We start from the raw sequence: 24995 nt of genomic DNA, 5'->3' as shown, positions 1-24995 counted from the left end.
TAGATGGTTTTGACTTTCTTGGTTTCCTTTCATTGGAAATCAAGCCAAGAAGCTCTTACTGTGTGAATTTGCATAGCACCTTGTGTACCAGGAGGCACTTGGCAGGTGATTATTTGAGCAGTTATGGAAAGTTTTGTGTTGAGAGGGACTTGCTGAGTCTAATCATGATTGATGAGGCTGGATTATTCCATACATTTCTTTCTTTTTACAGGCAGTGCTTTCCTCAGTGCTATTTTTCTTGCCTTAGCGACATACCAGTCTCTGTACCCACTCACCTTGTTTGTCCCAGGACTCCTCTATCTCCTCCAGGTAAGCACTTGCTGGTCAGAAGCCAGCACCCAAGTGACATTTAATACATGGCCTGGTCCCTGCTGGGGGAAAGGAAGGGCACGGGTTAGTAAAGGCAGTGGGAAGCTTGCTCCCAGTTGAAAATATAAACACATAGAAACTTGACTAACTTTAAACAAAGTGGACTTAATTATCATTAAGTCCCAACTACAGTAGACCTCCCCATGTCTGCAGGGGATATGTTCTAAAGCCCCTAATGGAGGCCTGAAACTGCATTTGGTACTGAACCCTACGTATACTATGTTTTTTCTGTCGAATAACTGAGACAACTACTAAGTGACTAACAGGCAGGGATACACTAGACAAAGGGGTGATTCATGTCTCGAGTGGGACAGAGCAGGACGGCGTGAGATTTCATCACACTACTCAGAATGGTGTACAATTTAAAACTTATGAATTGTTTGTTTCTGGAATTTTCCATTTAAGGACCACAGTTGACAACAGGTAACTGAAACCATGAAAAGTGAAACCTCAGATAAGGGGGGCACTACTATATGCATATCCTTGGGAATGTATAAGTGCATTTTATTTTACATATTTGCAAACGCAACTATCTTGCAGTTTTCTTTTCTCAACTAGTGATCCCCTCTGAGCTCATTTCTTTAACTTTTCTTTATAATAACACTCACCTTGTAAGATTCTTATAGGACTTAAATGGAGTATGTGCATCTGAAACAATGCTTGGAACATAGTGGCTGATCAATAAACATTAATTGAAGAATGCAAATTGCTGACATTTACTGAGAATGGATTACATGTCAGGCACCATGCTAAGCACTCTGTAGGCATCGTCTCATTTTAACCTCATAAGAACTTTATGGAGTAGGTCATATTATTAGCCAAATATTAGTCTAGTGTTAGCCATATTAGACAAATGAATTGAAACTAGAATGTTGGGAGGTTAAGTCACTTAAGGTCACAGGACCAGCGAATGACATTGCTAAGATATGAACCATGGCCATCTGATGCCAGAGCGTGCTCTCTAATCATCTTGTTCTACTCAAATGAGAATAGTACATACATGTTTCTTCAAGAGGAAGTAACTGCATGCAGGCCCCACATGGTCCAAATCCATTCTTACAAGATAAATGTTTCTTGAAAGTGTACAGGTGGCAGTGCCAGAAATGTCTGATTTCAGAGCCTTTCTTAATCACAAGCACTGCTAAAGCTGAGTGTGTATTCCATTTATTGAAATAGGCCATATGCATGTTATTTTAAGTGATTTTATAATATTGTGTTGATGCAGACAATGATTCATGGTTTGCTTGATCTTTTTCTTATTTGGGGAATTTGAGATATGTCTTTATTTATGTTTGAGATATGTCATTTATATTGTCACTAATATAAATAACGTAGAAATTTTTTTTTTTTTTTTTTGAGAGCAGGTCCTTGCTCTGTCACCCAGGCTGGAGTGCAGTGGCACAATCTCAGCTCACTGCAGCCTCCATCTCCCAGGCTCAATCGATCGTCTCACCTTAGTCTCCTGAGTAACTGGGACTACAGGTGTGTGCCACCACACCCGGCTAATTTTTTGTAGAGATGGGGTTTCGCCATGTTGCCCAGACTGGTCTCGAATTCTTGGGTTCACGCAATCCATCCACCCACCCACTTTGGTCTCCCAAAGTGCTAGGTTTATAGGAATGAGCCACTTCACCCAGCCAGAAATTTGTTTTTATTTGTTTTCTTTTTCTTTTTCTTATTTTTGAGACAGTGTCTCACTCTGTTGCCCAGGATGGGATGTGCAGTGCCGCAGTCACGGTTCACTGCACCCTCAACCTCCCGGGCACAAGCAATCCTTTCACCTCACCCTCCCAAGTAACTGGGACTGCAGGCATGCACCACCACACCCAGCTAATTTTTGTATTTTTTTGTAGAGACAGGGCTTTGCCATGTTGCTCAGGCTGCTCTCAAACTCCTAGGTTCAAGCGATCCTTCTGCCTTGGCCTCCCAAAGTGCTGGGATTACAGGTGTGAGCCACTGTGCCCAGCTTGAAATTATTTTCTTCAAGTATGTTGCTTTAGCTAAATCACTGGACCCAAGGTGAAAAGTCGTATTGTTCTTATTAGGCAATTATACCAGATTGTTCACCAGAAAGCCTGAGCCAGTTTGCAGTGCCACCATCAGTATCTAAAGAGAAGTGGACCACTTACCTCCTCATCTGCCAGCACTGACTTTTCAAGTTTGATTTATGATTGCCAGTTCAGTAGATGTGTCACCATACAGTGAAGTTATTTTGCTTTGATTTTCTTTCTGTATTCTTGCTGAGTTGAAGCATTTTTCCACATAACAATGTGCTGCTTGTATTTTCTTTTTTATTTCCTATTTATGGCTTATTCTTTAGAAAGTCTAAGCACTAAGAATATATATAGCCAGACTTTTTATACAACTATGTATCAAATAAATAATATAGTATATTCATACACATGGATGGACCAGAAATTTAAAAATGGTTTCTGAGCTTGTCCAACCTGCAAAAAATGAATAAGTAAATAAAAGAAGATAAAAATGGTTTCTTAAGCCAATCTCTATGCACCACTTTATATAAAACAACTTTTGTTTAAAACTAAAGGAAATTTCCTCCTGACACTAGTGGACAGTACAACTGACTCATTAAGTCAAGCAGCTCCTCTACCAATATTTACTAAGTACCTATAGTGTGCTAGATACTATGCCAGACTGCAGACATAAAGCAATTGAAGGATGCTGAGCAGGTGAGTGCTCCAGGAAGATTGCTTTGGCAGCAGCTTGTCGGGTAGATGGGAGTAGGAAGAGCTGAAGTTGGGAAAGCTTAGAACATTGTACTAGATCAAGTCAGAGGGGTAAACTGGGGGCCCAAACCAGTGTCAGAGGAGATGGAGAGATGAGAGACTAGATGCAGGGGAATTCTAGGAGGTAGAATTGGCTGTGCTTGGTAACCGTCTGTATGTGGGGGACAGGAGCGGAAGGAGTTTGAGATGAACTTCAGGATCCCATTTATGCAGAAATTAAAACTCCATTTCCTACTATATTTGTATATTTTTTATAAATATATGAAGTAGCCTGGTGTATTAGTCCATTCTTACGCTGCTATGAACTGCCTGAGCCAGGCGTGGTAGCTTACACCTGTAATCTCAGTACTTTGGGAGGCTGAGGCAAGTGGACCACTTGAGGTCAGGAGTTTGAGACCAGCCTGGCCAACATGACGAAACCTTGTCTCTACTAAAACTACAAAAATTAGCCAGACATGGGGGAGTGTTCCTGTAATTCCAGCTACTCGGGAGGCAGAGGCAGGAACATTGCTTGAACCCGAGAGGCAGAGGTTGCAGGAGCCTAGATCGCACCACCGCATTCCAGCCTGGGTGATGAAGTGACACTCTGTCTCAAAAAAAGAAAAAAAAAAAAAAGAAAAGGAAAGAAAAAGAACTGCCCGAGACTTGGTTATTTATTTATTTATTTGTTTTTGCTGATGGTACATGAAATAATTTTTTTTTAAATTTTACTTTAAGTTCTGGAATACATGTGCTGAATGCGCAGGTTTGTTACATAGGTATAACAAACCTATGTAATGTGCCATGGTGTGCTGCACGTATCAACCCATCATCTAGGTTTTAAGCCCCACATGCATTAGGTATTTGTCCTAACGCTCTCCCACACCTTGTCCCCCACCCCATGACAGGCCCCAGTGTGTGATGTTCACCTCCCTGTGTCCATGTGTTCCCATTGTTCAACTCCCACTTATGAGTAAGAACATGCGATGTTTGGTTTTCGGTTCCTGTGTTAGTTTGCTAAGGATGATGGTTTCCAGCTTCATCCATGTCCCTGCAAAGGACGTGAACTCCTTTTTTATGGCTGCATAGTATTCCATGGTGTATATATGCCACATTTTCTTTATCCAGTCTCATTGCTGGGCATTTGGGTTGGTTCTAAGTCTTTGCTATTGTAAGTAGTGCTGCAGTAAACATACGTGTGCATATATCTTTATAGTAGAATGCTTTATAATCCTTTGGGTATATATCCAGTAATGGGATTGCTGGGTCAAATGGTATTTCTGGCTCTAATCCTTGAGGAATCGCCACACTGTCTTCCACAATGGTTGAACTAATTTACATTCCCACCAAAAATGTAAAAGCATTCCTATTTTTCCGCATCCTTGCCAGCATCTGTTTTTCCAGACTTTAATGATCGCCATTCCAGCTGGCGTGAGATGGTATCTTATTGTGGTTTTGATTTGCATGTCTCTAATGACCAGTGATGATGAGCTTTTTTCATGTTTCTTGGCCACATAAATCTCTTCTTTTGAGAAGTGTCTGTTCATATCCTTTGCCCACTTTTTGATGTTTGGTTTTTTTTTTTTTGTCTTTTTTTTTTTTTTTTTCTGAGACTTGAGTCTTGCTCTGTTGCCCAGGCTGGAGTGCAGTGACACAATCTCAGCTCACTGCAACCTCTGCCTCCCAGGTTCAAGCGATTCTCCTGCCTCAGCCTCCCAAGTAGCTGGGACTGCAGGCACGTGCCACCATGCCTGGCTCATTTTTTGTATTTTTAGTAGAGACGGGGTTTCACCATGTTAGCCAGGATGGTCTCAATCTCCTGACCTCATGATCTGCCTGCCTCAGCCTCCCAAAGTGCTGAGATTACAGGCATAAGCCACCGCACCTGGCCTGTTTTTTTTCTTGTAAATTTAAGTTCCTTGTAGATTCTGGATATTAGACCTTTGTCAGATGGATAGATTGCAAAAATTTTCTCCCATTCTGTAGGTTGCCTGTTCACTCTGATGATAGTTTCTTTTGCTGTGCAGAAGCTCTTTAGTTTAATTAGATCCCATTTGTCAATTTTGGCTTTCGTTGCAATTGCTTTTGGTGTTTTAGTCATGAAGTCTTTGCCCATGCCTATGTCCTGAATGGTACTGCCTAGGTTTTCTTCTAGGGTTTATGGTTTTAGGTTTTACGTATAAGTCTTTAATCCATCTGGAGTTAATTTTTGTATAAGGTGTAACAAAGGGGTCCAGTTTCTGTTTTCTGCGTATGGCTAGCCAGTTTCCCCAGCACCATTTATTAAATAGGGAATCCTTTCCCCATTGCTTGTTTTTGTCAGGTTTATCAAAGATCAGGTGGTTGTAGATGTGTGGTATTATTTCTGAGGCCTCTGTTCTGTTCCATTGGTCTATATCTCTGTTTTGGTAGCAGTAGCATGCTGTTTTGGGTGCTGTAGCCTTGCAGTATCGTTTGAAGTCAGGTAGCTTGTTGCCTCCAACTTTGTTCTTTTTGCTTAGGATTGTCTTGGCTACACAGGCTCTTTTGGGGTTCCATATGAAATTTAAAGTAGTTTTTTCTAGTTCTGTGAAGAAAGTCAATGGTAGCTTGATGGGAATAGCATTGAATCTATAAATTACTTTGGGCAGTATGACCATTTTCATGATATTGATTCTTCCTATCCATGAACAAGGAATTTTTTTCCATTTGTTTGTGTCCTCTCTTATTTCCTTGAGCAGTGGTTTGCAGTCCTCCTTGAAGAGGTCCTTCACATCCCTTGTAAGTTGTATTCTTAGATATTTTATTCTCATTGTAGCAATTGTGAATGGGCGTTCACTCATGATTTGGCGCTTTGCTTGTCTATAATTGGTATATAGGAATGCTTGTGATTTTTGCACATTGATTTTGTATCCTGAGACTTTGTTGAAGTTGTTTATGAGCTTAAGGAGTTTTTGGGCTGAGACGGTGGGGTTTTCTAAATATACACTCATGTCATCTGCAAACAGAGACAATTTGACTTCCTCTTTTCCTATTTGAATACGCTTTATTTCTTTCTCTTGCCTGATTGCTCTGGCCAGAACTTCTAATACTATGTTGAATAGGAGTGGTAAGAGAGGGCATCCTTGTCTTGTGCCAGTTTTCAAAGGGAATGCTTCCAGCTTTTGTCCATTCAGTATGATATTGAGACTTGGTAATTTACAAAGGAAAGAGGTTTAATTGACTCACAGTTCCACATGGCTGGGGAGGCCTCAGGAAACTTACAAATATAGCCGAAGGGGAAGCAAACACGTCCACCTTCACATGATGGCAGGAAGGAGAGGTGCCAAGCAAAGAGGGAAAAGACCCTTATAAAACCATCAGATCCTGTGAGAACTCACTCACTATCAGGAGAACAGCAGCATTGGGGGTAACCATCCCCATGATTCAATTACCTCCCACCGGGTCCCTCTCATGACATGAGGGGATTATGGGAACAACAATTCAAGATGAGATTTGAATGGGGACACAGCCAAATTATATCACCTGGGCCTTGTGGGTCATGGTAGGGTATTTGAAGATCAGTGTAGTCACATCCAGGAAACAAAACCATCTGTTTAAATATGAAGGAGGAGCCAGGTGTAATGGCTCATGTCTGTAATCCCAGCACTTTGGGAGGCCAAGGTGGGTGGATCACCTGAGGTTAGGAGTTCGAGACAAGCCTGGCCAACATAGTGAAACCGCGTCTCTACTAAAAGTACAAAAATTAGCTAGGCATGGTGACATGTGCCTGCAGTCCTAGCTACTCAGGAGGCTGAGGCAAGAGAATTGCTTGAACGCGGAAGGTGGAGGTTGCAGTGAGCCGAGATTGCGCCACTGCACTCAAGCCTGGGTGACAGAGTGAGACTCTATCTCAAAAACAAAAAAAAAACAAAAAAGGTGAAAAAAAGTGAAGGTGGAAACAGAAGAGGAAATATTCTTTTTTGTTTTGTAACAGGGTCTTACTCTGTCAACTAGGTTGGAGTGCAGTGCTGTGAACATGGCTCACTGCAGCCTAGACCTCCTGGGTTCAAGCAGTCCCCCTGCCTCAGCCTACTGAGTAGCTGGGACTACAGTCATGTGCCACCATGGCTGGCTTGTTTTTTGTTTTTTGTTTGTTTGGTTGGTTGGTTGGTTTTTTTTTAGAGACAGGGTCTCACTTTGTTGCCCGGGCTGGTCTTGAATTCTTGAGCTACAGCAATCCTCCCGCCTCAGCCTCCCAAAGTGCTGGGATTAGGCTGAGCCACCACAACCAGCCTAAAATTATTCTTTAGGGCTGAGTTTCTGCCAGACTACTAAGTGGACCCTTTAGAGTTGAGTTTCACAGGGATCCATAGGCTCCAAGGAGAGAAGCTAGAACTAATGGTTAGGTGGTACAAGAAGCTTAGTATAAGGTAGTTCTGTGACAGAATGAGATGTCCTAAGTGAGGTCAGTTCCCTGTGAATCATGGTGTTTAGGCCAGAGGCTGAATGGCCACTTGCTGGGGAGTTGTAGCAAAGCTGTAAGTGCCAGAGTGAGTGGCTGTACCCTGATCGGCTTCAGAATGCTTTCTACTTCCAAATCAAAATGGATTTGATAACCTCTAGGAGCTGACACATCTGCTCTTGACATTATCTTTTTCTCTGAGTTTTTTTCAAGCCCTCTGTAGGCATAGCCCTCTAGGAAAGGTTGTCTAATGTAGTATGTAAGAGCACAGCTTGACTGGGACATCTTGTTACAACAACAAAAAAAAGCAAAATAGTCCTCAAAGTCTTAACAGGACTAAGTCAGAAAAACACTGGTACCAGCTGAAAGGGGCTCATACCACCCAAATTTGGGAATTTCTGAGCATCAAAAGAATGACAACAAGTAATTATAAAACACTGGATAAAAATCCATGTGTTTGGCTGGGCACGGTGGCTCACGCCTATATTCCCAGCACTTTGGGAGGCCAAGGCAGGTGGATCACTTGAAGTCAGTAGTTCCAGACCAGCCTGGACAACATGGTGAAACTCCTTCTCTACTGAAAATACAAAATGAGCCAGGCATGGTGGTGGGTGCCTGTAATGCCAGCTACTTGGGAGGCTGAGGCACGAGAATCGCTTGAACCTGGGAGGCAGAGGTTGCAGTGAGCCGAGATCGCACCACTGCACTCCAGCCTGGGCCACAGTGCAAGATTCTTGTCTCAAAAAAAAAAAAAAAAAAAAGTCATGTCTCCATAGTGATGCTCACTAAAAGGGCAAGAAGAGAAAAAATACATAGACCATCATCAGATGTGGCTATTTTACCAGTTTCTCACTCTGAAAGTAAATAATTAAAAGGAAAGAACTAAGCAATTACTCTGCCTTTTAAAAAGGAATTATAGCTGGGTGCAGTGGCTCACACCTATAGTCCCAGCACTTAGGGAGGCTGAGGCAGGAGGATCACTTGATCCCAGGAGTTTAAGACCAGTCTGGGCACAACTCTGTGCAGTCCCATGGCACAGACTCTGTGCACAACTCTGTGCAGTCCCACAGCAATGTCTAGTGGGGTACTCATGATCCCTGGAGCCACAGAAGTTGTTTGTTACACTGTGCTCTTTCAGCTTTGCCATCCTCTGATGGCTTAAGCATTTCACATCTCAGTATGACAGCCCTCTGTATCCCAACCTCTTGTTTGGCATCCAGGAGGTATCAGGTTGCACAAATGAATTGGAGATGGTAAATGCAGGGGATTTTATTGCTGATGAAAGTGGCTGTCAATGGGATGGAGAGCTGGAAAGGGGATGGAGCAGGAAGGTGGTCTTCCCCTCAGTTCGGTCATTCCTGGCTGAACTCTTCTCCGAGGTCCCGCCATCAAGGTGTCCGTCTGAAATCAAGCTGCTTCCCTCTGACTTCTGGCTGCTGCTTCTCTCTCCCTCTCTGCCACTCCACTGCCAGTGGAGCCTGGGGTTTTTATGAGTACAGGATGCGGGGCAGGCCAGGCCAGGGTGGTTTTGGAAAAGGCAACAGGGATGTGAAGTTCTCACTTTAGGTCAGGGGTCCAGGCTTGAGGGTGGGGCCGTCGCCAGGAACGGCCCTTTTCTACCTGCCTCTTGTGCATATCACATGGATGCTAAAATCACTGGGTGAATGGTTTTTAGAGAACAATGTATTTGCATTTGCATTGTGTCAAAACATTATTCCCTAGTCCCCACCCTCTAGATTCTTTGCTAATAGCAAAGGGAAAAATACATATTTATGGCCGGGCATGGTGGCTCACGCCTGTAATCCCAACACTTTGGGAGGCCGAGGCGGGTGGATCACGAGGTCAGTTGTTCAAGACTAGCCTGGCCAAGGTGGTGAAACCCTGTCTCTACTAATAATACAAAAATTAGCCAGGCTTGGTGGTGGGTGCCTGTAATCCCAGCTACTCAGGAGGCTGAGGCAGAGAATTGCTTGAACCCGGGAGACGGAGGTTGCAGTGAGCTGAGATCACACCAGTGCACTCCAGCCTGGGTGACAGAGTAAGAGACTGTCTCAAAAACAAACGAAACAAAACAAACAAACAAAAATCTTTACAAAGGCATATTCTGTAGCTAAGTAATCCAACTCTTATCACTTATAGTGGAACAACTTGACATGATATATATAGTGCTTGGCATGAGGCAGTACAAAATACACGTTATCAACTCTGAACTATTCTTACCCAAAAAGTTACCCTTAATGAAGCCTTAAGATCTGAGTTTTGGTTTTAGGGAATAAAAGAGCAGAGGAACGAGTTCAATGACACCACAAGGAAGCAGTAAGACAAACCAGAATGTACTATGGTATTTTAAGAAAGCTGGTCTGAGTCTGTTCAAAATGTTAATGTTATGAAAAAGAAAAAGTGGAGAAACCGTTCTGGACTAAAGAGACACAATAACTGAATGCAATGGGAGAGTCTTGATTGGATTTTGGGTTGAAAAAAACAGCTATAAAGGATGTTTTGGGGGACAACTAGAAAATTTTGAAGACAGATTAGATATTAGATGATGTTAGGGAATTTTTTTTTTTTTTTTTTTTTTGAGACGGAGTCTCACTCTGTCGCCTAGGCTGGAGTACAGTGGTGCAATCTCGGCTCACTGCAACCTCCGCCTCTCAGGTTCAAGCGATTCTCCTGCCTCAGCCTCCCAAGTAGCTGGGACTACAGGCACCTGCCACCACGCCTGGCTAATTTTTTGTATTTTTAGTAAAGACGGGGTTTCACCGTGTTGGCCAGGATGGTCTCGATCTCCTGACCTTGTGATCCGCCCGCCTCAGCCTCCCAAAGTGCTGGGATTACAGGTGTGAGCCACTGCGCCGGCTGGGAATTGTTGATTACCTGGATGTGATGATAGTATTATGGTATATAGGAGAATGTCCTTATTTTGCACAACTGTGTGCAGAAGTGTTTTGGAGAGAAATGTCATGATGTGTTCAACTTTTACATGGTTCAGCAAAAATAAATATATGCATGCAGAAAGATAAAATAAGGCAAGGTATTAATATTTAATCTAGACATATATGGTTAATTATTGTATTACTCTTCCAACTTTTCTGCATGTTTGAAAAAATTTATAATAAAAAAGAGGGAAATAGAGTACAGGCTCTGATGTCTTCATTTGGACACTTATTAACTCTGTGACCCTGAGCAAGTGACTATTTAACTTCTCTGCTTCCACAGGGATAATATAATAGTACCTACTGCAAAGGGTTAATACATGTCAAGTGTTTAGAACAGAGTCTGATGAGGGCTTGATAGATATTAGCTATGATTATTAGTATTCAAATGTTCATGAAAGGACATGATCACCAGTATGTGGGGCGATGAGGGGAAAAGAAAATAATTCATCTTTTGAAGTCAAAGGAACTGTAAAAGTTAGTTTGTACTTCCTCCTTTGACACTATAAACATGCCTCCATTCTGCTGGTGGAATTTCTAGAGAGTACTGGTGTCTGATCAGTGCCAGAGGTGAAACTATTCTTCCTTTCCTTCATGAGACACAAGATCAAAGGGAGGGGATGCTGCATCTGGCTCCCTGGTGAATCACTTATGAGAATGGTAGTTTGAGCCCATCTGGTTCCATCCGGCAACTCAACTCTTTCTCTGACCTTGGCTGAGAGCCTAGTTTCCAAATTAGAGAGAGGTTTAAAATGTTATGATTTGATAGCATGCGGAAAAAAATAGCCCTAACATGCTCAGGGGCAGGAGGCTCCAGTGAAGGAAAGCCGAGTGCACAGGACCGAGAAGCTGAAGCTGTAAGGCTTCGAGGGAGACCAGGCGAGGCTTACCGAGATGCTCATGGTGCAGTCTGGGAAGTTTCTAGTTCCCATCTTCCTTTTGCTTGGGATTCCTAAAGCCTTGGATTCCCTTGGATGGTTTGAGGCCTTTATTTTCTTTCAAAGACAGTAGCAGACACTAGGGGAAATTACCCCGTGAGTACTCTTTTGGTTTTGCTTTAATCCAGTCTGACCTTTTCTTGTCTTTGAACTGAAAACGTTAATCCTGTGATTTTTTTTTATCCTTTCTGGAGCTTGGGTCAGGTTATGTGATGGTAGCTTATACCAGAGGAGCCAAACTCAATCAGTTATTTCTTGATAACGGGTCCTTCCCCAAGCCTTCTCTGGGGCCATATTTAGAGTTTTCACACCTTATTTTTTCTTCCCCAGTCACTTTCTGTTATTTCTGCTATGTCCAGGTGTGTGCTAGGGCAGAGGTAGCAGTGCTGTTAGCTTTGTTTCTTTTTGGAATGGGTAAAAATGAAGGCAAGAGCTTGATCAAGCATTTTCAATAAAGTTTTCTACCAGTTTTGTTTCCTCTAATATATCTGTCATGCAAAATATATCTCCTGGATCTCTTCTTGTGATTCCAAGAACTTACATGTAAAAACATTGTTAGGTTAACTCCCTTTAAGAGTTTATTTGGATAACTGGCTTTTTCCCTTTCACATCGTGTCTGAGAAAGGAAATGGTTTCTGTACAGAAAATGCTTTTCTCCCTAGTGCTGTAGAGACTTGGGGAGAGGAAGATAATCTTAATGTAGCTGGGGTTTTTCTGAAGCAGTCTGAGAATTCTTAATTTCCCTAAATATTTTTTATATATTAGCAACAATGTGACTCCTGGAATATTGTAACTGCGAGTTAACATTTTCAGGTTGAGGGTGCACATAACCCTTGGATCACATCTGGCCCCACAGATGTGGTTCATTTGACCCTGGTGTTTGACTTTTTTGAAATTAGTAGTCAGCATTTTAAAAATTCATGTGGAAATTTTTTATTTCTGGCTCCTTTTGAGGAATTGTAAGATCTGTCCCCTTTAGGCAGAGCGTACCCTCTTCAGATTGCCACAGTCCCTGTTTCATTTCTCTCACCTTCACTTGTTTGTTACCTGCCTGGTCCCCTGTAGGGGTGTGGTGTGTGTGTGTGTGTGTGTGTGTGTGTCTGTCCACTAAAAGGTCTAGAAACAATGACCAACCCAGTATGAATGAACATTCTTAGTGCCCAAATTATGATCTTGAAATACCATTTACCCATTTAGAGAAACTGGGGTTTCTTAGGGAAATGGCTAATTCTAGGTTTTAGGGCAGGAAATGTATAGGATGATCCTAGAATGTTGTGATAACAGATAACATGAAAGTTTATCAAAGTCTACTGGAGTCATCTTGAAAGGACTTAGGATCTAACTTGAAGAGGCTCCCACTGACCAAAGAGGGATAATTTGAGTTTCAGTAAGGTAAGAATTGCAATAGATTAAAACTCATAAATATATTTAAATCCAGGCACTCATAATGTTACTAAAAAGGAAACCTACTTGGCTAAATTAGGAGAATTGATAAGAAATCAGTTCATTGTATTGAAAACTGGATAAAGGAAAAAAATAAGTATTTGTCCTGCCTTTCCTGTACCACTAGATAACCATATAGTAGGTGACAGAAATATATCTTTATAAAATTATTTCAACTTACAAATGAAAACAAAATGATAGGATAGCATCATTTTACAACCCCTTATGGTCTAGGTACTGAGCATCAATAACTGCTGACATCAGAAACAAAAACCAAGCCTCCTGACAAAAGAACATTACCCACCACCAAAGTTTGCCAAAAGGATAAAATCCAAAATTGATCAAGCCTCTGGATATAGCTGCAATTTGCAAGAAATACTGAAAACAAGGTACATAATTAGAAAATCCAGATTATGGGATGTTATATGGGTTAAATGTCCCAGATTCTGTAACATATGAATTGTAACAAGAAAAAAAAAAAAGATATGGGCAGGAGTAGGCTGGAGTGGAGGAATTATGAATTAAGAGACTTAAAAATTGTATCAAAAATTTTAAAAATAGGCAAGACCTAAACTATAGAAAGGGATGCACATGTAAGTGGAAAACCATAAAGAAATGCAAGGAAGTGATTATTACCAAAGCCAGGGTAGTGATTACTTTGGAGGGAGGAGGGGATTGTGGTTGGATCAGGGAACATGGAGGAACTTGGGGAATGCCTGGAAAGTTCTTTCTCTCGACCTTGGTAGTGGTTATAAGGATGTTCACCTTACAATCATTCATTAAGCTTTATATTCTATGTAATTTCCTGCATTTTGTGTTTGTAATAAAATGGTTTAAAAAATTGATAGAGTTTTTAGGGCATCATTCTTGTAACCCTTCTACTTACATACATACATACATTTTATTTTTTTGTTTGTTTTTTAAGATGGAGTCTTGCTGTGTCGCCCAGGCTGGAGTGCTGTGGCACAATCTCAGCTCACTGCAACCTCCACCTCCCAGGTTAAAGCGATTTTCCTGCCTCAGCCTCCCAAGTAGCTGGGATTACAGGCACCCACCACCACGCCTGGCTAACTTTTGTATTTTTAGTAGAGACAGGGATTCACTATGTTGGCCAGGCTGTTCTTGAACTCCTGACCTCAAGTCATCCGCCCACCTCGGCCTCCCAAAGTGCTAGGATTACAGATGTGAGCCACCGCACCCAGCCATACATATATTTTATTTTATTTCATTTCATTTTATGATGGAGTCTTGCTCTGTTGCCCAGGCTGGAGTGCACTGGCGCAGTCTCGGCTCACTGCAACCTCTGCCTCCCGGGTTCAAGCAATTCTCCCACCTGAGCCTCCCAAGTAGCTGGGATTACAGGCACCTACCACCACACCTGGCTAATTTTTGTATTTTTAATGGAGACGGGTTTTCACCATGTTGTCCAGGCTGGTCTTAAACTCCTGACCTCAGGTGATCTGCCCGCCTTGGCCTTCCAAAGTTTTGGGATTACAGGTGTGAGCCACCATACCCAGCCCATACATACATTTTACATACACGTTTTAAGTCAGCGTTTGCTGTGGAGCAAAAGAGGTAAGATGAAATCTCACCTGTTCACTGGGAAATTTGCAGTGTGAACCTTGTTGAAGTCAAATAAAATATAGAGACAAATCTCTAATGTTTTATTTGGGAAGCAAGAATTGCAATTTGAGTTATACACACAGACTGGGTGGTCTTTGGTATGTCCAAAGAACAAACAGAAGGTTAGGAGTTTTATTAGAAAAAGAAATAGTATGTATTGCTTTGAAAGAAAGCTCATTGACACAAGTCAAGTTTTTGGGAGCTGGGAATCTCTGATTGGTGAGACAGTGGTAGGTTAAAGTAGTCTTAGAGTCACAGCAGGTCGTTTCAGCAGCTGGGCTTGTGGAAAATCTAATTCTTGGAGCAGGTGCTGTATGCCCTGGGTGTTCTTTCCCCTGGCCCTGATTTCGTTGGACATGACAAGAATGACCCAATTTATATAATCAACTTTTACAACCTCGAGATTAAGTTTGGCTCTAGTGTTTATAAACAACAAGCCATCAGGGGATTGCTGGAGTTTCTTTTTTAGGAATTTTAGATGTGCCTCACTGTGTAACTGGAATAGTCCTGCAAGATTAAGTGCAAGTTCAGTTTTTATAAATAGATGCAGTACATACTTCAAATTACTTTATCGTTTTAGGGCCCTGTTCCCCAAGCAAACCTTGACTCCAAAACCATGTCTTCAAAACAGAATTATACTTAAAATTTATTGCACATCTTGTAACCACAAGTTTGCCAAGAAAAAAAATCATTTTCCAGTCTAACACTGAGAGCACTTTAGGTCGAATAAAACACTGAGAAAAATGGTAGCAAACAGAAACTTGGGGGCCACTAATGGGATTTGCAAAGAGTGAAACCTCATTTCCTGAGTGTGTGTTCAGGACTTGCCTAAGAGAACTGCTTTTTTTTTTTTTCTTTTTTGAGACAGAGTTTCGTTCTTTTTGCCCAGGCTGGAGTGCAATGGCACCATCTCGGCTCACTGCAACCTCCACCTCCTGGGTTCAAGCAATTTTCCTGCCTTAGCCTCCCGAATAGCTGGGATTACAGGCATGTGCCACCACGTCTGGCTAATTTTGTATTTTTAGTAGAGACGGGGTTTCTCCATGTTTGTCAGGCTGGTCTCGAACTCCCAACCTCAGGTGATCTACCTGCCTCAGCCTCCCAAAGTGCTGGGATTATAGGTGTGAGCCACCGTGCCCGGCCAATAACTGCTTTTAACAGCCTACTTGATTCAGTTTTTCATGGCCTTGTTGTTTTATTCCCTGGCATACTTCTTTTTAAATATCAGTAGGGTGGAATGGGAAGACAAAACAATATTTTTACTTTAGAGGGTATTTTTTTTTTCTCTCCTGGGCTGTTTTCTTCCTCTTTTTTTTCTTCCTCCCTTCTTTGCTAAATGGCAGTCTTTTTCAGGAGGAAGATCAAGATGATCAAGGAATTAACTCAGAACCTAAATACTTTCTTCATTGAATTTATCTATGGATGCCTTCTCTTTGTTGAATTCTTTTCTTCTCTTTTCTCTTTTTTCTTTTCTTTTCTCTCTTCTCTTCTCTTCTCTTTTTTCTCTGTCGCCCAGGCTGGAGTGCAATGGCATGATCTCGGCTCACTGCAACCTCCGCCTCCCAGGTTCAAGCATCTCTCCTGCCTCAGCCTCCCGAGTAGCTGGGATTACAGATGCCCACCACCAAGTCCAGCTAATTTTTGTATTTTTAGTAGAGACAGGGTTTCGCCATGTTGGCTAGGTTGGTCTCGAACTTCTGACCTCAAGTGACCCGCCCGCCTCGGCCTCCCAAAGTGCTGGAATTACAGGCCTGAGCCACCATGCCTGGCCTTGAATTATTTTCCATCCCCAGAAATTTATCATTCTCTTGAAACTTTATTCTTCTAGATCAGCGGTATCAGTAGAACTTTTTGTGACCATGGAAATGTTCTGTGTCTGTATTGTCAGTGCAGAAGACACAAGCCACATGTGGCCATCAGGCACTTGAAATTTGCTAGTGGGACTGAGGAACTGAAGTTTTAGTTTTAGTTAAGTTATACTTTATATTAGAATAGCCACATATGGCTAGGGGACAGTACAGTTGCAAGGAGAAGTCAGAGTAGAGCTATGTGTGTAAAGCTTACAGGGGGGGCCATAACGTTGGTCAGATTCCTCTCACCTAAGATCTATTAACAGTAATGCTGTCTCCAGCTTAAAACTCTTCGCTGACTTCCATCATCCTTAAAGTCTTTATCATGGAGTTATGATGTCTGTAATTTATTTAAAAATACTTCTTCATAGACCATCTGATAGTATATATTTGCCAGTTAGTTTCAGCCTCAACTTCAGGGGAATGTGAATTACATTAATGAAGCATCCACATTCCATGATGTCACCTAGCTTTACATCTTCAAGGGTGCACTCTCCAGGGGCTGCCATCAGTGCAGCACTCTCTATAGTTTGATCAACACCTTTACTAGTTAGCATAGTGACTGTCAGAAACAGCTTGGATTTTTTTGTTTTTTTGAGACGGGGGTCTCTGTTGCCCAGGCTGGAGCGTAATGGCACGATCTTAGCTCACTGCAACCTCTGCTTCCTAGGCTTAAGCAATCCTCCTGTCTCAGCCTCCCGAGTAGCTGGGACTACAGGCGCGTGCCACCATGCCTTGCTAATTTTTGTATTTTTTGTAGAGACAGGGTTTTGCCATGTTGCCCAGGCTGGTCTCAAGCTCCTGGATTCAAGTGATCTACTCACCTTGGCCTCCCAAAGTGCTGGGATTACAGGCATGGCCCACTGCACCTGGCCAATTTTTACTGGTGAGATTAGTGTCTTACTGATTAACAAAATGAGTATTAGAAGTAGGCGCTCATTAGTGAAATTGAAGTATTCAAAAGCAGAATTGGGCCAGATGTGGTGGCTTATGAGCTACAGAGCAAGACCCTATCTCTGCAAAAAATGAAAAAATTAGCCAGGCATGGTAGCATGTGCCTGTAGTTCCAGCTACTCGGGAGTCTGAGGTAGGAGGATTATTTGGGCCCAGGAGTTAGGGCCCAAATAATGCAGTGAACTATGATCCTGTCACTGCACCAGCCTGGGCAACAAAGCGAGACCCTGAAATATTCCTATGCTTGCATGAAGAAGGAATATGAATCTAGCAGGGCCTGTAACTTCTTCCCTTGGAGATGGCGCCTGAGGCGTAATTCCTTAATGATCCTTTGGCCTTTGGTTAGGATTTCTGGTTGCCTGATGTGACTCCAAGGGCAACAGAACCCTGCCTCTGGGATATTGTCAGTTCTATTATGAGTGAACCTTTTTCATAAGTGGTGGTTGGAATAACTAGAGGCAGAAAGAGCTGGGACAGCATGGAGCTTCTAGAATAGTTTGTGTGAACTGCTTTGGGCCTGGCTCACTAAGGAATATCTGTTTAATAGATGTCTTTAGGTGTGCTAGAATTTGGTCTGGAACTTGCTTTCTTTGTCACAAGATTGTAAAAGAGGTGCTAACACTCACCACCTGAAACATTTTTCTCAACTGTTAAAGAGCCTATGAGATGTATATTACCAAAATGGCTTAGCTCCTCCTTGACTTGGCTGTTCTCTACCTCTCTATGCTTATCTTATACCACTTACCCCTCACTCCTAAATCTCAAACCACACAGACCTTCTCTGTTCCTCCAGTGTGGCAAGTTCCATCCCACCTCAGGTCCCATACCCATGATGTCCCATCTGTCTTGAATGCCCTTGTGCTTTATAATATTTGCATAGTTTAAAACATAATAAAGCAACACTGTGTTCCACTACCCTGCTTAAGTAATGTAACATTTCTAGTCCTTTAGAAGCCCTGTACGTCCTCCTTCTACACTGCACTCCTTCCCTCTACCTCAGAGGTTATGACTACCCTGAATTTGTTATTATTTATATATTTTTAAAAATATATAGTGATGGGGTTTCATCATGTTGCCCAGGCTGGTCTCGAGCTCCTGGGCTCAGGTGATCCACCACCTCAGCCTCCCATATTGCTGGGATTACAGGCATGAGCCACCATGCCCGGCCTACCGTGAATTTTTTGTTAATCATTCTTTGGCTTTTCTTGAAAGTGTTACCACATATGTATGGCTTGCTAAACAGTGTATTAAATCTTACATTTTCCCAACATTCTGTAATGAAAAATTTCAAAGAAAAAACAAATACGAACACTCATATACCTATAACCTACATTCCTCCATTAATATTTTACCATACTTGCTTTATCACATATCCATCTATCCATCAGTCAGTCTTATTTTTCATACATTTTGAAGTAAATTGCAGATGTCATACATATCCTTGTAAATAATTCAGCATAAGCATCAACTGGAGTTCATTATTTATTTACACTCTTTTTCATTTTAGGTAGAATTTACATACCATGAAGTGCATGAATCTTAATACAAATACCTGTGTAACCCAAACTCCTCTCAAAATACAGAAAGTATCTTCGGGTCCTTTCCCCATCAATTCCCACTCCTATTTCCTCAGACACAACTGTTCTGAATATTGTTTTAACCATAGATTAGTTTGGCCTATTCTAAAACATCATATAAATGGAATGAAATAATAGGATTATTTTGTATAAGGCTTCCTTCAACCAGCTTGTTTTTGAGATTTATCCATGTTATTGCATGTATTCTTTTTTATTGCTGGGTGTTTTTTGTGTGTGCAGCGTTTTGTTTACCCATTCTCCTATTGGTAGAAACTTGGGCCCATTTCCAGTTTTTGTCTGTTACAAATAGACTACTATGAACATTCTGGTACAAGTTTTTTTGTGGACTTAACATTTTTGTTTCTCTTGAGCAGTACCTAGCAGAATTTTTGGGACATTGGGCAAGTGTACGTTTAGCTTTGCTAGAATCCACTAGACAGTTTTTCAAAGTTTTTGCACCATTTTACAACCCCCCCAACCAAATATGACAGTCTAGTTGCCACACATCTTCACTAACATTTGATGGTATCGATCTTTTTAATGTTGGCAATTCTAGTGGTATATCTTCGTGAAGTTCTGCTTGTCTTTTGTTTATTTTGCTTTGTTTTTGAGAATTCAAACTTGTATTTGACTAATAAGATATCTTTAAAATTTAGAAAATAACAATTGACACAGCTAGAAGAAATTGATAAATCAGCCATCGTAATTAGTTTTAACAAATCTCTCAAAGTAAGATTAAACAGCCAAAATATTTAATAACTATGTAAACGATTTGAACATCACAATAACAAGCTTGATTTAATGAAGATTAGAGGCAAGGCAAAGGGCTGATTTTTTTTTATACTGGCCTTGTAGAACGCTCTAATTTTTTAAATTGCTTGTTTATTTTTTTAACCAACCATGTAACAGATGGTTTTATCTCCATTTTTAAAAGTTTTTTATTTTGAATTAATTTTAGACCTACGGAAAAGTTGCAAAAATAGTACAGAGTTTCTTGTATCCCTCACTCCACTTCCGCTAATGTTAACATTTTATATAACCATATACAGTTATCAAGAACAAATAAATTGATATTTATGCAGCATTATTAACTAAACGACAGACCTTATTAGAATTTTGCATTTTCTACTGAGGCTATTTTTGTTTGTTTCAGGATCATATTTAGGTCCCACATTGCATTTGGTGGTTTTATCTCCTTAGTCTGTCCTAGTCTGAGACAGTTCTTCAGTCTTCTCTTGTCATTCATGACTTGTGAAGTTATTTTTGTGAAATGTACCTCAGTTTAGATTGTCATAGTTTTCTCATGACTGGACTGAATTTACATGTTTTTGGCAAAAATGCATATTGTGTCCTCAGTGCACTGTACCGAGGGGTTCATGATATTGCCATATCTTCTCAATGCTAATGTTTACCTTGATCACTTGGTGACGTTAGTGTCTGCCAGGTTTCTCCACTGTAACTTTTTTTGTTTTGTTTTGTTTTTGAGACAGGGTCTCGCTCCATCGCCCGACTGGGCTCAAGCAGTCCTCTTGCCTCAGCCTGCCAAGTAGCTTGGATTACAGGCGAGCACTACCACGCCCAGCTAATTTTTGTATTTTTAGTTGGCCAGGCTGGTATTGAACTCCTGACTTCAAGTGATCCACCCACCTTGGCCTCCCAAAGTGCTGGGATTAAGGCATGAGCCACTGTGCCTGGCCTGTTTTTCATAATTACTTAGATTAGTTCTTTTCTTGCGCCATGTAACCCTTCAGTGTGGTTGTGTTTTTAATTTGTAATATAGTTAGTTTCATTTGTTAGGGTTTATATTCATTTTGGATTCTCCCCACATATTGGTTGATTTTAATTGTTTATTTGAGGAGGGGGTAAGTGAAGGGAATGTAAAATATTACTGTGGTTCTAAGAGTCAGCTGTACAAAAAGAGCAGTATTACTCTGTCATCATTCCTGCTATCCTGTTCTTCTAGTCCCTCCCCTCTCACCCTAGGTAATTACAGTCTTCCCTCGGTATTTGTGGTGGATTGGTTCCAGGACCTCCTGCAGGTACCAAAATCTCAGGATGTACAAGTCCCTAATACAAAATGGCATAGTATTTGCATATAACCTAGGCATATCCTCTCCTATGCTTTAAGTCATCTCCAGATTACTTGTAATACTTCATACAATGTAAATAGTTCTTATACTGTATTGTTCAGGGAATAATGAAAGAAAAACATCTCTACATGTTCAGTACAGACACAATTTTTTTTGGAATATTTCCTATCCTTAGTTGATTGAATCCATAGATGTGGAACCCATGGATATGGAGGGCTGTCTTCTCTTTAGTTTCTGGCTTATCTTTCCTGTATTCCTTTCACACACCAGTGAATAGATACATGTATATATGTATATTTTCTTTTCTTTTTTTTTTTTTTTTTTTTTTTGAGACGGAGTCTTGCTCTGTTTCCCAGGCTGGAGTGCAGTGGCGCGATCTCGGCTCACTGCAAGCTCCGTCCGCCTCCTGGGTTCATGCCATTCTCCTGCCTCGGCCTCCCGAGTAGCTAGGACTACAGGCGCCCCCCACCATGCCCGGCTAATTTTTTGTATTTTTAGTAGAGACGGGGTTTCACCGTGTTAGCCAGGATGGTCTTGATCTCCTGACCTCGTGATCCGCTTGCCTCAGCCTCCCAAAGTGCTGGGATTACAGGCGTGAGCCACTGCGCCCAGCCTATATGTATATTTTCTTGTATGCCTTTATTTATTTAGCGACAGAGTTTGGCTCTTGTCACCCAAGCTGGAGTGCAATAGCACGATCTTGGCTCACTGCAACCTCCACCTCTCGGGTTCAAGTGATTCTCCTGCCCCAGCCTCCCGAGTAGCTGGGATTACAGGCGCCTGCCACCACGCCCAGTTAAGTTTTGTATTTTTAGTAGAGATGGGGTTTCACCATGTTGGTCAGGCTGGTCTCGAACTGCTGACCTCAGGTGATTTGCCCACCTCTTATATGCCTTTCTTATATGAAGGGTAGCATACTTTAGATACTCTTTTGTGCTTTCCTTTTTTTCACTTAACATTATTTCCTGGAAATTCCTCCATATCAGTATAGATAGAATAGAGATTGTCCTCATTCTTTTTTAAGGCTGTGTAGTACGCCATTGTGTGAATATACCATAGTTTATTCAGCCGCTCTCCAGTGTGTGGGAATTTAGATTGCTTACAATATTTTGCAATTACAAGTAATGTTTCAGCGAGTAACCTTGTATATACTTATTTTCATATTGTTGGAGGTATATCTTCAAGATAGATTTCTAGAAAGTGGAATTATTGAAGTATGTATGTAGTTTTGTTTTGTATTGATTTTTTGAGACAGGGTCTCACTCTGCAGCCCAGGCTGGAGTGCAGTGGCACGATCACAGCTCACTGAAGCCTCAACCTCCTGGGCTCAAGTGATCCTCTCACTTCAGCCTCCCTGATAGCTGGGACTATAGGTGTGCACCACCACATAGGGCTAATTTTTGTATTTTTTGTTGAGATAGGGTTTCTCTATGTTGCCCAGGCTGGTCTTGAACTCCTGGACTCAAGTGATCCACCTGCCTCAGCCTCCCAAAGTGCTGGGATAACAGGCATGAGCCACCATGCCTGGTGTTTTTTGTTTGTTTGAGGCAGGGTCTCTTGCTCAGTCCCCCAGGCTGGAGTGCAGTGGCACAATCACAGTTGAGCTTTTTTCTACATCAAAGTTAAAGACAAGTTCACCATGTTTTTTTCTAGTACAGTGCTTTATCATTTCATTTAAAAAATATATTTGGATCCCTAAGCTATTTGGAGTTTATTCTTGTGAATGGTGTGAGAGATAGGTCTAATTCAACCTTTTCCAAATGGTTACCTTGTTGTCCTAGCATCATTGATTAAAAAGTCAATTTTTATCATAGTGATATGCCACCACTGTCATATACTAAATTGCCATATGTATTTTGGTCTAGTGCTGGACTTTCTGTTTTATTCTACTAGTCTACTTCTCTATTAACGAGCCAATATTGCGCTGCTTTAATTATAGAGGTTTTATATTTCAGTGTCTGATAAGGCTAGTCCCCCTTCATGATTTTTTTAATCAGTGTTTTCTTAGCTATTCTTGCATGTTTGTTTTTCCATATGAACTTTTTATCTACGTAAAGTGGCTTGGTGGCTTTTTTTTTTTTTTCTTTAAGACAGAGTCTCGCTCTGTTGCCCAGGCTAGAGTGCAGTGGCACGATATTGGCTGCAACCTTCACTTCCCTTCCTGGGTTCAAGCTATCCTCCCACTTCAGCCTCTGGAGTAGCTGGGACTACAGACATGTGCCACCATGCCCTACTAATTTTTGTATTTGTTGTAGAGATGGGGTTTCGCCATGTTGCTCAGGCTGGTCTTGAACTCCTGAGCTCAAGTGATCCACCCTCCTCTGGTTCCCAAAGTGCTGGGATTACAGACATGAGCCATCACACCTGGGCCAATTTTCTATTTTCTTGTGAATTAATTTTTTCTCTAATTTTTTATTTCATTATTTCAGAAAAATTTAGTACTATAATATTATAAATACCTTTTTAAAGATTCTTCAGTTATCATTTTGCCATATTATGTATATCTATGTAAATATGTTGATTTTTCTTTTTTCCCTTGAATTACTTGCTTGGAAGTTACAGACAAGACACATCAACCCTAATTCAGCAGGTAACTCTTAAGAACTAGGCATTCTTTATATAACCATGATACTGTTATCACCCCTAGAAATTTAACCTTGATAGAATAACATTATCCAATATATTCTCTCCAAATTCAAACTCCCCAATTTATATGTGACCTTTATAGGATTTGGGGGAAGGGATGGGGTTCAGGATGTATTACATTTCATTGTCATGTCCTTTGATCTCCACTTCTTTTTAGTTACACAGGCATTTTTAATCATTTAAATTATTTATATTTTTCATAGAATGTTTCCATTTCACCTTTTTTAAAATACATTGGCATAAGTTTTAAAATATTTTCTCCTCCCTGATACATCTATAGTTATGCTCTCTTTTACATTTCTAATGTTGTTTATTTGTTCGTCTCTCTTTTTTTTTTTTTTCTTAATTATTCTTATTAGAAAGCCATCAATAACATGAGTCATTTCTAAGAACTAGATTTGGTTTTGTTGATTCCTTATATTGTACCTTTATTTTCTGTTTTAACAAATTCTGTTCTTTATTATTTTCTTCCTTCTTTTGGGGTTTATTCTGTTTTTTCTAATATCTTAAAATGGGTGTTTAGCTTATTTATTTTCAATTTTTCTTCTATTCCAAAGTAACTTTCTTTAATATTTCTTTTTTTTTTTTTTGAGACGGAGTCTTGCTGTGTCACCCAGGCTCGAGTGCAGTGGCGTGATCTCGGCTCACTGCAAGCTCCACCTCCCAGGTTCACGCCATTCTCCTGCCTCAGCCTCCCGAGTAGCTGGGACTACAGGCGCCCAACCACCACGCCCGGCTAATTTTTTTGTATTTTTAGTTGAGTCAGAGTTTCACCACGTTAGCCAGGATGGTTTTGATCCCCTGACCTCGCGATCCACCCGCTTCGGCCTCCCAGAGTGCTGGGATTACAGGCGTGAGCCAACACGCCGGCCTACCAAAGTAAATTTCTAAGGCTGTACTTTTCCCTCAGAGTATTGTTTTATCTACATTACACAAATAGTAATATGAGGTATTTTCTGACATCATTTCTCTTTGACTCCTAGGTTATTTGGAAAAGTGTTTTAATTTTTTATAATACAATTCAAGAGATTTATTATGCAACATGACTATAGTTAATAATATATTGTATACTTGAAAATTACTAAGAAAATAGATGTTAAGTGTTCTCACAACAAATAAGTGATACATATGTGAGGTCAGCAAGTTTTTTTCTAATTTATTTTACGTTATCTTTTCATTAATAATTTCTATTAATTCCATTATCGTCAGAGATTGAAGTCTGTATGATAAAGATTCCTTGAAGTCAATGTGGGTTTATGGACTGATTTAAGTATGTGATGTTTTTGTAAATACCCCCAAAATGCTTGAAATGAATGTGAATTACTTAGTTATTAGGTGCCCTGCTCTATATAAGTATGATTTGTAAGATCTTATGAGATTAAACTTGTGAAATGTGCTTCATTTTTTCTATTTGATTACTAAT

At 40.9% G+C, this 24995-nt stretch overlaps 1 protein-coding gene across 3 annotated transcripts in view; it reads left to right on the top strand.

The window, feature by feature from the left end:
- Window positions 1–24995, top strand: part of PIGU (phosphatidylinositol glycan anchor biosynthesis class U) — a 116551-nt gene that overhangs the window by 60742 nt on the left and 30814 nt on the right. For 2 of the 3 annotated variants that reach the window (XM_017027664.2, NM_080476.5), the window contains exon 7: window positions 212–309. In XM_017027664.2, the coding sequence (XP_016883153.1) occupies window positions 212–309 (98 nt within the window). Of the gene's footprint in view, window positions 1–211; window positions 310–13103; window positions 13222–24995 lie in introns of those variants that run through there. The other variant, XM_011528542.2, reaches the window with a different exon arrangement.

This window comes from Homo sapiens, chromosome 20 (assembly GCF_000001405.40).
Source record: "Homo sapiens chromosome 20, GRCh38.p14 Primary Assembly".
Taxonomy (NCBI): Eukaryota; Metazoa; Chordata; class Mammalia; order Primates; family Hominidae; genus Homo; species Homo sapiens.
This window is presented reverse-complemented; position numbering and strand designations above follow the sequence as displayed.